This window comes from Homo sapiens, chromosome 5 (assembly GCF_000001405.40).
Source record: "Homo sapiens chromosome 5, GRCh38.p14 Primary Assembly".
In the NCBI taxonomy this organism is placed as follows: Eukaryota; Metazoa; Chordata; class Mammalia; order Primates; family Hominidae; genus Homo; species Homo sapiens.
The window spans coordinates 142,870,372-142,885,885 of NC_000005.10; the positions used below are offsets into that span (position 1 = coordinate 142,870,372).

The 15,514-nt window shown below is 44.5% G+C and overlaps 1 protein-coding gene across 40 annotated transcripts in view; it reads left to right on the forward strand.

The window, feature by feature from the left end:
- The window catches only part of ARHGAP26 (Rho GTPase activating protein 26), a 458,635-nt gene that overhangs the window by 99,995 nt on the left and 343,126 nt on the right, over positions 1–15,514 (forward strand). For all 40 annotated transcript variants that reach the window (NR_146198.2, XR_007058592.1, XR_007058593.1 and 37 more), the window contains 4 exons: positions 3,029–3,124; positions 4,739–4,800; positions 9,003–9,074; positions 14,927–15,028. Coding sequence is in view for 37 of the 40 variants with exons in the window: in NM_015071.6 (NP_055886.1) it covers positions 3,029–3,124; positions 4,739–4,800; positions 9,003–9,074; positions 14,927–15,028 (332 nt within the window). In the remaining 3 variants the exon portion in view is untranslated. The remainder of the gene's footprint in view (positions 1–3,028; positions 3,125–4,738; positions 4,801–9,002; positions 9,075–14,926; positions 15,029–15,514) is intronic.

Here is a 15,514-nt window from a genome sequence, read left to right on the forward strand (position 1 = left end):
GAGAGTTCTCTTTTTAGTGTTGTTTTCAATCTCTCAAGTAACATAGAGGGTTTACCTTAATGGGGTGAAGTGGTATGGTGTTCCCACATACTACAAGGATCTCAGTTCACAGGACTTAAGTCACAGGTCCTCTCCTTAGTGGCCTTGCACTCTTAGGTCAGTCCTTTAACTTCTCCGAGCTCCAAACAGTTATTCATGCTTACCTTTCCTGGTTCCTCTTACTGGAGGATTCATATATGAGGAAAGAATAGCCCAGCTATACCTAGAACTGAGTCTTGTGATGTGCAGAGTGCCTATACAGTGTTTCTCACTGGATCCTCCCTGCCTAACCCACGGGCTGACAGCCTCCGTCAGATGAGATAACTGAGACTTTATGACTAACCCAGGGTTGGTTACATATCTGATCTATGTTGGAGCTGGAACTTGAACCCAGGAGCTGTGGGATTGGGGTGGGGGCAAGGGGTTGGGGTTGATCACCCTGTCACCATCACCCCATAGAATGCAAGTGGAGAAGGGAGGTTCTCCAAAACAAGCTTGAGATGCTGTCCCAAAGTCTGGGGAATGGATTCCAAACAAGTAAAAGGACAGGTGTCCACTTTAGCTGTACTGAAAAATTCCTCTATCAAGCCTGAGGTGAGTTCCTTTTTCAGGTCCATTCATCAGGATTCTCGCTCTACCCAGCTTTCCTCATTGGCTTGAAGCCCAATACTGACTCCATACCAGCAGTCATTACCTAATCGTCTATCGGGGGATCGGCCTGTCCTTCAGCTTCATGGGGTCCTCACTGCTTCTCAGGCTTGCACTGTGGCAGGGTGTGCTCTGTGCCAGTGGACAAGGAAATCAGGTCACCTGCTGGTCATAAGCTAACAGGCCCTGCCCTGGTTCAATGGGTGCCCCTGTGCAGAAGCCTCACAAAGGCCCCGTTGTGCATGACCAGCCACTCCCTGATCCTCCTGGCAGCTGCCCTTGGCAGTGCGGCTTTTCAGGTGTGTGCTGGGAGCTTTCCCGAGCCTGGCTTGCATTTCACCTGTTTCCACTTTGTTGAGATGATTGAGTTTCTCTTGCTTATGGGGGAGGCACAGGATTGTCGGGTGGGTAGAAAGGCAAACCTGTGTTACTCTTAGTGCAGACTTTGTGCGTTCTCATCAGGGAACATTCTGACTAAAATGGGAATGTGTATAACCACACCCACATTTGATGCACACACATTTGGAGGCTCTAACAGAACATTGTCTTCCACTCTAAAATATTATTCTTTCCCTTTTTTCTTGTGTCTACCTGTAGCCTCCTCCTGCCTTCCTGCCCACGGTGTTCTGGCTTTTGGGTGCATCTGTTTCCTTCCTGGCTTGCCTTTTGTGATTTGTGTTCTGAGGGATAGCCTCAGCCTGGGCTGGCCATTTTTGTCAGATGCCTGAGTCCCCTGCCAACATCTTTTGACATTTTGGTAAGGACCATTCTGTGAAAGTGACTGAACGAGGGAGAGATCGGAGACTGTTGGCTCCTGTGTTCCCCTTCTCCACCCCAAGTGCCTTCTTTTGGTGTAGAGCAGAGCGCTTTGGACAAACCGCAGCTATCTCGGGACCGTGTCATCACAGCGTGTGGGAGGGCAGTCCAGGAGCAGGAGCTGCAGCTGCTGTCCATGCAGTAGCTTGAGCCCTGGTCCTGAGAACAGCAGCACAGCCCACGCCCAGCTCTTCCACTAGCAGCCATTGCTTGGAAGGAGCACTGGGGATTGGATTTGTATCCAGTGCCCCCACTCCCACCGCCCCCCACATTTATTCAGCATACACTGAGCAGGATGCACTGCCAGGTACACAGAGGAAACAAACCAAAACAAACAGAAAGGTGGAAAACACGATCCCTAACCTCAGGGGACAAATCTGGGAGCTAAGAAAAAGTACTGGGAGTCACGGATGCTTTTATTCTAGTAGCTTATGTTGATCTGTGCAGCCACAGTACACCCCCCCACCACCCATATCTTATTAAAGCCAGGCCTTGTTGCTGGTTCTGCCTCATGTTTCCCTCCCTTGGGCATTTGGACATAATGCCATTTCCCCTTCAATGAGGGAACCATGTATGAGGGTAATTTGAATGATTAGCCTAATCTGCAGGAAGACTGCACATGGAATTAAGTTAAGCACATTTGTCCTCAGCAGCCAGATCTGCCAGTCCACTTAAAGGTACCTTGGTGGTTTCATACCCTTAAGAGATGTTGAAGACTCCGGAAGGATCACTGGCTTTCATTACTATCTTCAGTGAAAGTTTATGATGATGACTTTTTAATGATAAGGGCTCTTGAGAGTTTTTCTTATGGATACTGCGTGTGGCATGTGTTTTTACCCTAATACAAAATGTTGCCGGGGCTTTGTTCTCCTGGTGGTGTTGGATGTGGCCAGCCAGGAAAATTCAGGTGAGCTTTGTCAGGCTGGTGGTCCACTCTGCTCATGAGGAGAGTGGAGAGGGTTGTGAGAACCTGGGCCTCGCCTGTGCTTGAGTCAGAAGAGGAAGGCCAGGTGCTATGGGCAGGGCAGTTCCCAGCCCCTCCTTCCAGCCTTCTCCAGGCTCCCTCCCTAGTGAAAGTTTGTGTTGTGAGTAGGACCTAGGGGAAATTACTGTTGAGTCAGACTTGTGGGGGAAACTGCACTGACTGTGTGGAGGGTCAGTGGCAGAGCAGACCTGCAGGCTGTGGACACTAATGTTGGCTCTGATCCAAGCTTTCTCCCCGACTTCCTTTGGCAAGTGGATTCCCACATGTCAAACGGAGATGACAAGTTGCCTTTAGAAAGTAGAGATAGAACTTAAATTGTTAAAGCCAATATAACAAAAATATTAACTTCTAGAACAAATCAGTGCTTCATATTGTAACCAAGTGTTGACTATTTTGAATTTATATTCTTTTGTGCTTTGAAATGGACTCAGGAACAAATCCGCCTCCTAAGATATTCCTAGAAGGACCAATAAGGGCAGCAAATCAGAAAGCCAGTTTAATTTTAGTAATTCCTGATTTTTCCTGTCTTTTTCTTGCTAGATTTGTCTTCAGCGAAGCGGAAGTTTGCAGATTCCTTAAATGAATTTAAATTTCAGTGCATAGGAGATGCAGAAACAGATGATGAGATGTGTATAGGTAAGTCATAACTGTGCAGAAGATAAAAATGTTCATTGTTTGTCATAGCCTTCAGTGTCCCAGCAGAGCCTTTTCCCTGAGATAGGAAGTCTCTAAGGTTAGTAAACAAAGAAGTCCTTAGTGGAAGTGGAGGGCCAGAGATATGTGAGGATCGGAGCTTGGGGCTACTCTGGTCTTCTCGAGTTTTGGGATTGCCTCACCCTCCAGCATGCAGGAGAGAAAGCTTGAAGTTTTGCAGTGGGACTCTCCTTTCCACCTCCCTTTAGTATTTTTCCGGCTGGTGACATTCTTCCCCTTCAACCATAGTACTAAGAGCTTAGAGCATATGTAGAACACAGGTAGATGAGGGGAAATTTAGATCAGAGGTTGCAAAATAATAGGCTGAGATGAGAACACAGCCCAGTTTTCTTTGGCTCTCATTTTTTAAAATTGAATTACCATATAAATTCAATTTATAATCTAAAATTCCAGTTTTCCAGCTTCTTTGAAAAGTTTGAGAATTTGATCTACTGGCTCCCTCTTCTGACCTGGCAGCAGTTGGCTGAGCTATGCGTCTGCCACTGCCTTCAGATAGGGAGAGGAGCTCCGTATCTGGTTCTCCTGTGCTGTGGACAGGGAGGTCCCCGCCACTCCTGTTTCCTTAAAAAGAGGCTGAGGTGGGTTACTGTTTATCACCACGGTGTGTTGCTTCACTCTTCACCATCACCTGCCTTGGTCTGTAGGCAGCCGTAAGCATGGAGGATTCGCAATGTCAAGACACCTTTCTTTGCCAGGGCCTTGTCATTGCACACTATTCTTCTATAGGCACCTTGGTTGACTCCATTAAATGAGCGAGAATTGAGAAAGTTTTATTGGATTAATTAATTCATCAAATGCTTATTGAGTTCCTGTTGCCATGTAGAACATCAGCATCTGGGGCTGAGTACAGGCAATTGGGAGACAGCTGAGAATGGTGAAAATGTATCCTTGTAACTTGTGAATGTATGGCTGCTTTTCCCAACATGGCTCAAGGGTCTCGAGTATCCTCAGGGCCATTGCACGTAATGCTTATTGCTTTTATGAATAATTTTGGCAAAGACGACTGTTCATGTATGAGCACCATGCTTCGAGCTGCATTCTATTAATGAGTGGCTTGAGGACTCAGGAGGAACCCAAAGAGAAGCCAGAGATGTGGCTTCCAATGCCAGCAGCATTGTTTATTTAGCTCTGGTGCCAAAGAAAAGGCTGGGTTCTGACGCAACGCCATGACAAAGGTTGAGGAGGTCGAATCCAGACAGGAAATCCTTCAACTCCTAAGCGGAACTCTGCCCCTTCCAGCCCGGGGCCTGGAAGCCTGCCAGCATCTCACCAGTCCTGGATACTCTCAGGAACAGGCAGATCTTTTCCTTGAAGAAATCATTCCCTAGCTAGAGTGCCAGGTGGAATTAACCTGCATTTCTGGGTCATCCTTAATGGTTAATGATTAAAAAGATGAAGGGAGCCTTGGGAAGCAATTGACTTTAGGCATCTGTATGTGCCAAGGAATTAAAATCCATAACATAATAGCCAGAGCTGGAAAGGCTCCCCAAGGCCCATGACACTCCTTCCACCTCATGGCCCCTTTCTGTTTTCCAGCAAGATCTTTGCAGGAGTTTGCCACTGTCCTCAGGAATCTTGAAGATGAACGGATACGGATGGTGAGTAGGGCTGGGCTACTCTTGGTCCCAGATAGTATATTCGTGTTGAGGGAGCAAGGGATGGGTATCAGAAGAACTAGATTCAAATCCAGACTCTGCCATTTGAATGTTTTGAGCTCTTCAGCAAGCCTCATCTTTGTAGAGTTTGAAGGCTTTTGTAAATATTAAAGGATTACTCTGGTGGATAACTTTAGAACAACGTAGTTAAATGATGTCCTTCTGAAGATTCATTTTAAGGTCTTTTCATAAGGTGTATGACTTAAGGGTGGATCTTTTGAATTATTTCACTTTTTTGGGCGTCGGATTCTCTACCAGCAGAATGGGAAAGAAGGTGCCCCACTCTGCCCCTCCCCCCATCTTATTGAACCTGATCAAGAGCTCTTTGAGGGCAGGATCACTTCCCTCTTCATTTTTAAGCACCCAACACAGTGCCTGCCAGGTAGGAGGGACCCAGTAAACAGGTACTTTGTAATGAAGGTAACTATAAAAAGCTCTTCAGAGAGGCATTGTCCACATTTAAGAGTCAAATGCTGATCTCCAGGTTCTTAAGAGATATCTTTTGTACTAGAATTTATTGTTCTGGAAGACAGAGAGGGTCTCACTCTGTCACCCAGGCTGGAGTGCAGTGGTACCATCATAGCTCACTACAGCTTCAAACTCCTGGGCTCAAGCGATCCTCCTGCTTCAGCCTCCTGAGTAGCTAGGACTATAGGTGTGCACCACTGTGCCTAGCTAATTTATTTTTGTTTTTTGTAGAGATGAGGTCTTGCTGTGTTACCCAGGCTGATCTCGAACTCCAAACCTTAAGTGATCCTCCTGCCTTGCCTCTCAAAATGCTGGGATTACAGGCATGAGCAACCCTGCCTATAATTTATTCTGATATAGTTCAGCATTAGCAGATAAGAGATTCCACATCTACAGGAAGTTCCTTTGCATTTTTCTCCATATCCCTAAGATATGAGGAATGAAGTCCCCTGCTGACTTGAAGTCCCCTGCTGCCTGTACACTGATTTTCTGCTAGGAGGGCGTGTCTTCAGGCAGCAGTGCTCTAAAGTCCTAGGAAATACTGCATCAATCAACATTTTCTTTTCTTCCCATGCTAACAGTTGGTAGTTCGAACACTATTCACCAAGATGCATTTTCTATTTTAACCCCCATGATGACTCTGGGAAGTGGTATCTATATTATCGCCATTTTTCAGATGAAGATATTGAGGTTTACAGAGGTTAAGTAACTTGTCACAGATCACACAGTTAATAAGTGATACAGTCTGGGTTCAAACCCAAGTCTGCATTATATTAAAAAATATTAAAAAATGTGGGGGCCAGGTGTGGTGGCTCATGCCTGTAATCCCAGCACCTTGGGATGCCGAGGTGAGAGGATCGCTTGAGCCTGGGAGTTCAAGACCAGTCTGGAGGCAACATAGTGAGACCCCATCTCAACAAATTTTTTTTTTTAAGAAGACTGGCATTGTGACGTATGCTTGTAGTCCCAGCTACTTGGGAGGAGGGAGGAGGATCGCTTGTGCCAGGGAGGTCAAGGCTGCAGTGATCTGTGATTGAACCATTGCACTCCAGCCTGGGCAACAGAGCAAGACCCTGTGTCAAAAAAAAAAAAAAAAAAAAAAAAAAGGATTTCTTTAAAACTCCAAACAGAGTAGAAACCTCTTACCTTTTGCCCTACGGAAAGACCACTTTCTCTTGATTGCTCACTGCTGGTGCCTGAACCAGAATCAGAAGGGTGGTGGTGGCAGCAGTGGGGGTTGGTGGTGGGTGGAAGCAAGGGAAAGCTTGTGTGTTTGTGCATGTGCTGGTGCCTAAGAAAGGGAAATGATTCTTTTGAGTCTGATTCTTGGCTGAGTTAGTATTTGGGGGTGGGGGTGTGGCAAGCAAATCACCATGAATACCCTGCAGATTGCTATGGCCTGTGGTAAGGGAACAATGACTGGATTATACTTTTCAGCTTGCCTCTGCAATTTTATTATTAATGTCAGTGAATTGAGTTTCTACTGTCTGCATCTGAGTATCTGGCCGTAGCAAGCCCCTTCTCTACCTCCTTGCCCTGTGACAACTCCATCAGTTCAGTTAAGCTCAGCAAGCAAAGCCGCACCTTCTCTGGGAAGCGTTTCCTGACTTCCTGGGTTATATGGCTACCCTTGGTATTTTCTTAACATCCAGTTCGTGCTTCTGATCCTGTGTTTACCACATTGTGTCCTGATAAACATTGTACCTGTCTGTGCCCTGTAGTAAATATGAGTTCCTCAAGGGCAGAGACTGGGCTTCCATGTCCCCAACATCAGGCAGTGTTGGAACCAAGTGGATGTTACACAGTCGTAGAATCTTAGACTAAGTGGGACCTTATTCCTCACCATCTGCAATTGCTCATTTGACAGATGAGAAAACAGGTCTTATTAAGGCTGATAGCAAGTAGTAGTATGGCTGGGCGAAGGACTTGGGGGTCCTGATTCCCAGGTGAGCAGTTGAGCACTTTCGTTTTATAAGCGACTACTTATGACTGCATTCTCAATCATGGATGTCCACTGGAATAACTTGGGGAGTTTGAAAAATACTGATGTCTGGGACTAAGTCCAGGGATTCTGAGTTAGTTGGAGTGTAGCCTAAACTTAGGGATTTTAAAAGCTTTCCAGGTGATTCTACTGTGTAGTTAAGGTTGAGAATCATTGACTTTAGGGGCTTGGCACACCTTTGTAAGCTTCAGAGACTTGCAGATGGTTTGTGGAGAAGACTTCAGTGAACCAATTAAGTAACATTGAATAACAATAAAAATCACAAAATCAAACAAATTAACACCGCAACACTCTAGTCTTAAATTTCACTCTTCTGAAATAAGTGATCTCCAAATTGAGAAAAAGGCAAATGGGAATAAATTTGGAGACTTGACTTTTTCTGTCCCTTACATTGTTCAGTTAGTTCTTTACTGTGTCCATCTGTGACTTCTGGCATTTACCCGGTTAGTTTCATTGCAGTGGACATGCATGTGGTTTAGGAAAAATAATGCTTTGTTGCAGCGAGATTCCTGGAATAATTAGTTGAGCGAAGAGTGATAAATGAATGACTTAAAAGGAAAAACTGTAAAATATTGTACTGCCTTAGAAAAGACCATAGAATCTTAGCGATGGACAATTCAGCCCACTCGTTTTGCAGATGACGAAATTAGAGCCCAGAGAGGTTAAATGTTTTGCCCATGGTCACACAGTTGGCAGCCAATCAAGAATTAATCCATTCATTCATTTAGTCGTTCAAATATGTTTGAGTGCTGCTTTGTCTCAGCACTCTTCTTTGTTTTGGGGATAGTGGTGGCAAAGTGAGCCTTTACAAGATACTGATGTGTATGTGTGTGTGTGTGCACGCATGTGTGTGTGTGTGTATAAATGTGTAGTGTGTAGTGGTGAACCAGAACACACTTGGTAGGGGAGGGAAGTTGAGTTATGTTGGTAGTCAGGGAAGGCCTCCCTAAAGAGGTGACCTTTAAGCTGAAATCTTAATTACATGAAGGAGCTGTCCCTGTAAGGGTTTGGGAACACAGTGTCTGAAAGAATAGCCAAATGCTACGGCCCTGAGGTGGGACGAGTTTGGTGCGTTTGAGGTGCATTGGAGTGCCAGTAGGTTGGAATGCAGGACCTGAGGGGTGAGCCCTGTGAGATGAAGTTGAGAGGCAGCCAGTAGTCAGGAGGCACAGGTGTCCTGGCTCTAGTCCAGTCCTGTCTTGGTAGAGCAACACAAAATCAAGCTTGGAAGGTTTTTATGCCATCAGATGTCCAGAGGTGTTTCTTTGTTTATTTGTTTTTAACCTAGACTCAGTGTTGATCTACTTTACCCATAACTTGGGTAAATGAATATTTGCAAGAAAATGTCACCGAAGCTTGTAACTTAGACCCCACTCTTTTACCAGTTCCCCTCTGCCCCTTCAGAGGATCGCTTACAGTTTTAGAGTTCCTCATTTTTACTTTTAAATAATCAGTATTAATCATGCATGGGAGGAAGATTATCATGTTTTGAAATGATGACAGTTTTGATTTGACATGCTATTAGTTCGAAGGTTGTAAACAGTTGACATGTACAACACTGCCTCCCCAAATTTTATTTTAAGACATGGGGAGGCATCTCATGCTGGAGCTGCTGTAATTCTTTACTGATACTGCTTTTGTGTCTTCTTTCCCTTACTCTGTTGTTCTTCACCAGATTGAGAATGCCAGCGAGGTGCTCATCACTCCCTTGGAGAAGTTTCGAAAGGAACAGATCGGGGCTGCCAAGGTGAGAATTTTGCAAGCTTTGGTCTGGATTTTAGGGTGAGAGGTCTGGAAAACATAGCACCTTTCTTTAAAACAAAGTCTTCAGAAATGTCTTCAGAAAATCGAAGCCCACCTTCTTCAGAAAATCTTAGGCAGAAAACTCTATAGAGCCCAACTCATCGGTTCTTTACGGGTGACTGAAGTACGACCATCTGAGCCGTCAACCCCGGAGGGGCCATTCTGGTATTTTGTTACCTCATTGTTCTGTGCTTGTTCATAAATCATCCAAAGGTAGAAACCACACCTCATTTGTGTTATTATAATAGATAGCTGTGTGCTTAGACAATTGTCTTTATTGAACAATACATTTGTTTTCGTGGAATTGTATTTTGTGGAGGTCCAGGACTTGCAGCCTAAGCAGGGGTTACAAATTTGTGCCCTGTGGGTACAGGGACTTTCTTTAAAAGGAGGCAGCTGGTACTTAGGTTTAGCTGATTTTTGTTGGGTCTGGAAATGGGCCCTCTCTTGCTGATTCTTTAAATGTTTCAAGACAAACTGAAAAGCCAGTTTTATGTGAAATTTCTTGTTGGCAAATAATTTTAAAATATATATTACCCATTGTGCAGGTCAAAAAATGACATCTGCAGGCCTGCTTCAACCTGGAGATCACCGTTTGTTATCACTGACCTGGAGGGACTGTAGCCTAAGCTTGACTAATTCTAATGTGTTCTTGAGAGACTGCAAAGGGAATCCTGTTCCTTTTTAAAAGGTGGATTCTCCAGGGCTCCTTTGCCCTGTAATAAATCACTAGGAGGGCTGGGCGCAGTGGCTCATGCCTGTAATCCCAGCACTTTGGGAGGCCTAGGTGGGCAGATCACGAGGTCAGGAGTTCGAGACCAGGCTGGCCAATATGGCGAAACCCCGTCTCTACTAAAATAGAAAAATTAGCTGGGCATGGTGGTGGGTGCCTGTAGTTCCCAGCTACTCGGGAGGCTGAGGCAGGAGAATCGCTTGAACCCAGGAGGTGGAGGTTGCAGTGAGCCGAGATCGCGCCACTGACTGCAGCCTGGGCAACAGAGCAAGACTCCATGTCCAAAAAAAAAAAAATCACTAGGAAACTCTAGCTGGTTTGACCTTCGGTAGAGTGTTAGAGGCTACCTGCAGAGAAGATGTTTTCATTGGAATCAATGAAAGCAAAAAGATTTCCAACGTTTTCTTCCTGTTTTTCTGGAACTGTGAGTCAATTCAGCTGCGGTCTCTTACGCCACCTGCAGGGGCTTTTGGGCAACACCACCCTCTTACTTTGTGTGGATTTTGCTTAGTTGCAAAATGAGGTATTCCTCACCCCTACAACACACACACCCCTGAGTGCATCTGCTTTCTGGAAATAGATATGATTAGGGCCTGCAAAAGATGATGTTTAGTCAGGGTCTTTCAGAGGGATGGTTGATTACAGTTTGAAAGAGGGACTGTGGCAAAGACTTTCTCCCAGTTTTAGAGTATTTTCTACTAATTTTAGTTTACACATTTATGAGGAAGTGGGAGCTCACTGGTGCTGTATCAGAGATTAAGGAATGTATAATTTACACAAAGTCTTATTCCACTAAGAATTCATACAGACTGTGAACCAGTCCAGTGATGGCAGTTAATAAGCCGTGAGCGAATGCTCCCTCAGTTCCTGGCAGTGCAGGCCCTGCCCGCAGGGCTCCTCTTGGTGGCCTTGGGGCCTGTGCCTCCCCACTCTTGAACATGCTTGGCAGTGGCTTCCGGGGGTTATGCAGAGCTTGGAGACTGAGGCAGAGCAGAGCTGTTTGTTGAGTCATCTTTTCAGTAGTTACTTCTCCTTCTGAGCACAGATGCCTCTCTCTCTGGCCTCTTCTCTCACTGGCTTGAGGGTTACCATGGTTACCAAGGAGGTGAGGCAAGAGTCTGAGTGAGCTCCCTTTGGGCTTGATACCAGTGATCTTAATGATAGGAGGAGCTACTGTCCCCCGGGGCGGCGGCTGGGGGGTGGTATAGATGGTGACATACTAGAATAAAAGAATTTAAGTAGTCACTCACCAAAGCATGTTTCCCCTCATGCATATTCTATTCTCCTATTCATTAAACCATGAATAATTATTGATTATTAAATAACTTTTGGATGATCACTAAAGAAGAATTGTGATGACATTTGGGTGATGTCTCATCCTTCCCCATTTGTCATTTTTTCCTCCTGGCATGTCCTCCTTTGCATCACTCCACACACACATACATTTATATCATAACATTATGTAAATTTAAGAGACAACAAACAAGCAAACAACAGATCCACTTCTAGGCGACCCAGGGAGCAGTCTCAAGAACATCTCAGAGCCAGCAAGTGCTCTTCAGCTGGTTTGGGTATTGGCCAAGTGGAGGTTCTGAACTCTGTCTGTGCCATGCTAAAATTACTTTTTCCTCCTCCTCCACTCTCTGGTGCTGCTTCGGTTGCCATAACAGCCTGTTGGAGAGTGCACCATGTGAAGGCTGCCAGGGAGGAAGATTCTTGGGCATTCTTATGCTAATGTGCTACTCTGGAGTAGGGCACGACCCCTGGTGCTTGACATAACCATGGCCCTAAGTTTCTATTTCCAAGTTTGAGGAAATTATTTTTTCCTGTATTAGAGGTACATTTGGAATGCTGGACTCTAGAATAAGTATAACAGACATAAGAGAGTAGCGTAGAGAGTGGGTCTACAGCTAGACTGTCTGAATCCAAATCTCACTTCTGCCATTTGCATGTAGACTTGGGGAGGTTACTAAACCTCTTCATGCCTGTTTCCTGATCTCTAAAATGGGGGTAATAATAAAACTTGCCTCGTAGAGTTATTATGAAGAAGAAGTGAGTGAACTCCTATCAAATGCTTAAAACGGTGTCTGTCGTATAGCTACCTGAACATGAGAACAAGGTTGGTCATGTAGTCATTCAATGTTAGTGATTATATTAGATACACACAGTTCATTTGTTTAAAAAATATGTGAGAGCCTGCTCTGTGCCAGCACTGTTCTGTGCCCTGATATTTGGTGGAGAACAAGGCAGGCGTGGTTGCTGTGCTCATGAAGTAGCTGGGGTGAAAGACATCAGACAAAAAGATACAAATAAATGTCTAATTTCCAATTGTAGTAGGTTCTTGGGACGGTTACCTTCATGGCACACAGGACATGGAAAGCAGGTGTGTTCTTGATAAGAAGGAGGCAGGTTTAGGTGATGAGCTCACCACTGTCACCACCATTGCTGACATTTATTGAGCACTTTCCATGTGGTAGGCACCCTGCCAAGCACTGTATGTGGTTTATTTCATTTAACCCTAGAAATCCTTTGAGGAGGGGGTGTTCTTATTTTTATTTTGTTATATGGTCCTTGAGCTGAAAGAAGAAACCCGAGCAATTATCTAATCATCCTCAATTTATAGTTGAGGAAATTGAGTCCTGGAGAGGGATGGTGATTTGTTTCTAGCCAGTCCATATTGAGTTGGGAATAAATTTTAGGATTCTAACTCAATCCTTGACTTAACTACCCCACAGTAGACTCTCTGGAAGGTGAAAACCATCTTGTGTCCTGAGTAATGGACACACTCTCCCATCTTAAGAACATTATCTAAGCTGTAGTACTTTTTTGCTGCAGAGGTCTTATTGCTGTTTTCTCAGGACAGAAACGGCTTCCCTTTCTCCTTATTTTTTTCTCTAACTTTGGGTGTCCTCTTAAACATGGAATGTGGAGGCACAAGTTGCCAGAATGTCCCAGAATGCCAGTGACTCATGTTCCCTGGCCTTTTCTCACCTCTGGCCAGCTGGACTGTCTGGGACCAGGATTCTCCTTTTGGAGTTGCTGATAAGGCTGGTGGGAGCGGATACATGTGAGCAGCATTTGGAGTTGGAGCCCCAGTTCAAAGTTGCTGGTTTCACTAATGGAAAAGAATTGCTTGAGTCAAGTCTCTTGCCTGTACCCTCCTCAAATTTGAAGGAGTAATGTGTCCTCAGGCTTTTTCTTCATTTGCTGCTAAATGTTTAATTGTTCTTGTATGTGAACAGTCTTTTAAGCAAAACTCAGATTCATGGAAATGAGTATGTGTCAGCTAAAATGGATATATGGTTATTCTGCCCACTCTGTGAGCATGTACCAGAGGAGTGGTATTCTGACATAGCGGAGCTTGTTAGGGCTCCGGGTGATGGCTTCTGGCTCCGAGTGTCCTGCCCCAGGGCATTTGCACTTGATGGTTCTGCTCTAGAAGGCTCTACTCTGCTCCTTCTGTATTTCACAGGTAGGTCTCAGCTCACATCTCCCTTCCCCAAATGATGCCTTTCCTGGGTGCCCTATCTACAGAATCTCTGTGACTGCGCCCTGTTTATTTCCTTTGTAGCACTTGCAGCAGTCTATAATTATGCTGATTATTTGTTTACTGGTTAATCATGGTTCTCCTACTAGAACATTTCTACCGTGAGGGTTGGGACCATTTTTGTCTTGTATTTCTGGTGCCTAAAGTAGAGCCTTACACAGAGTGGTTGCTGATTATAAATTTGTTAAAGGAATAAAGAGATGTGTCTGAGCTTCTTTATTTGGCCAGAAAATATTTTTTCTCTTCTAGGCTTTGGAGTTGCAGAAAAACATCCCTATGGGTTCAGGCTCCACATGAGTCAAAAGCAGGAATAATGTACCCAATTAGCAAATTTGATCCCGTTTATCAGCCAAGTGCCAACCTTCTTCCAGCTTCCTTGCCTGCTCTCCCCGTTGGAATGTGGAAGGAAGGCAGACTGCCTGTGACAATCTGTCTCAGCTGTGGTGGAGAACATGGGCTTTGGAGGCACATTGTCCTAGGCTCCAATCCCAGCTCTGTCACTCTCCGTGACTTTTCACAAGTTCACCTCTTTGGGTCCAAGTTTTCTTATCAGTCAAATGGGAGATAGAAATAGAACCACAGTGACCCAATGATTCAGTGGTGGGGAGCAGGGATTAATTATGGTAATTATTTTTCATTTTGAAGACAATAATACGGCTAATAATTTCTTAAAGAGAAGAGAAAAATAACTGTTACCCCATTACCATAACTCAGGTATTTGCCTATAAGTAAATTCCCACCTCATCTTTGTCCATAGGTAGACACACTCTATGTAGGATGCAGCAAGTTTATATAATGCTGTTTTACTTTTCTCTCTAGTTTTCCAATGACTAGTTATGCTTATTGGATGTTCCGTACTTTAATTATGCCAAACGCTATCCTTGGAAGTGATGTTGCTGCTGCTGCTTTTATTTTTCTTTTGCTAGCATAAATGGTGCCGTAGTAAACAAATGTGTGTGAAGATAATATTGTTGTTTTGAATTATTCCTCAGCTTAAAGACCTGCATGTGATATTAAGTGTCAAGAGATATTTAGGCTTACATACCAAGAAGTGTTTTTGGGACAGTATTAAGGCTGGATCTAGCCTTAGTCTAGACTTGTCTCATTCAAGCTGTGAGGATATCTTCCTTCCTTGGTGTTAGCTTCATAGGTACCCCCACTGCTGCTGCTCCCCAGCCCCCAACCCCTGGCTGCCTTCTGGCCTTGAATATCCTTGTGAGTTAGAAAGTAGAAATTTCTGTTTCACAAAGTTCTTAGAGGGGGAATCTTGGCTTTGCCACCATTAGATATTCGTATTTACCTCATTTCTGGTCTTGTCCTGGTTGGTGCCTCTCTGCTAGACACTCAAACTCAGGGGGCTGTTGATGGGTGGCTGCAGGATTTAATGGGCATTACCTGAAAAGTAGGAGCTGAGTCGTCATCTGTGTTCTGAGCAGAAGGATCTTGAGAGATGGAGGCTGCTTTTATTCCTGCAACGTGTTACTCTTTTTCTTTTTCTCTTCTCTTTTTTTGCCAGGAAGCCAAAAAGAAGTATGACAAAGAGACAGAAAAGTATTGTGGCATCTTAGAAAAACACTTGAATTTGTCTTCCAAAAAGAAAGAATCTCAGCTTCAGGAGGTAAGAGACTTTATTAGTATCCTGAATAAAGTGTTCAATTTGTACATGATGCTGTGGATATGTGCTGGTTGCTCTTTGCTAGAAAATCTTAGGGTTAGAAGGGACCTGGGAAGCCAGGAGATTGCTCCTGATCCCTCATCCAGTGCCTGATGCCTGGACTGCCTTTGTGTCCTCCCATCCCACCCCATCCTTTGTAGCCTTCCCGCCTGTCAAGGTGGAAGACACTGCTGGCCGAGATGACCACCTCCTTGTTGGGCTGCCCTGATTGCTAGATGTCTTCATTTCATACTGACATTTCTTTTCCTGTTTCTCTCACCCTTGGCCTTAATTCTGCCCTCTGTTACTTTACCTTTTGACTTCCTGCCTCTTATCAGTGATTTGAAATGTTAGCATCTCAAACACTTTGGTTATCCTTCCTTAATATTGATTTTTTCATTATTTCAACCAGCACTTGACATTAGTTTTCTTTCTTTTTTTATTTTAAAG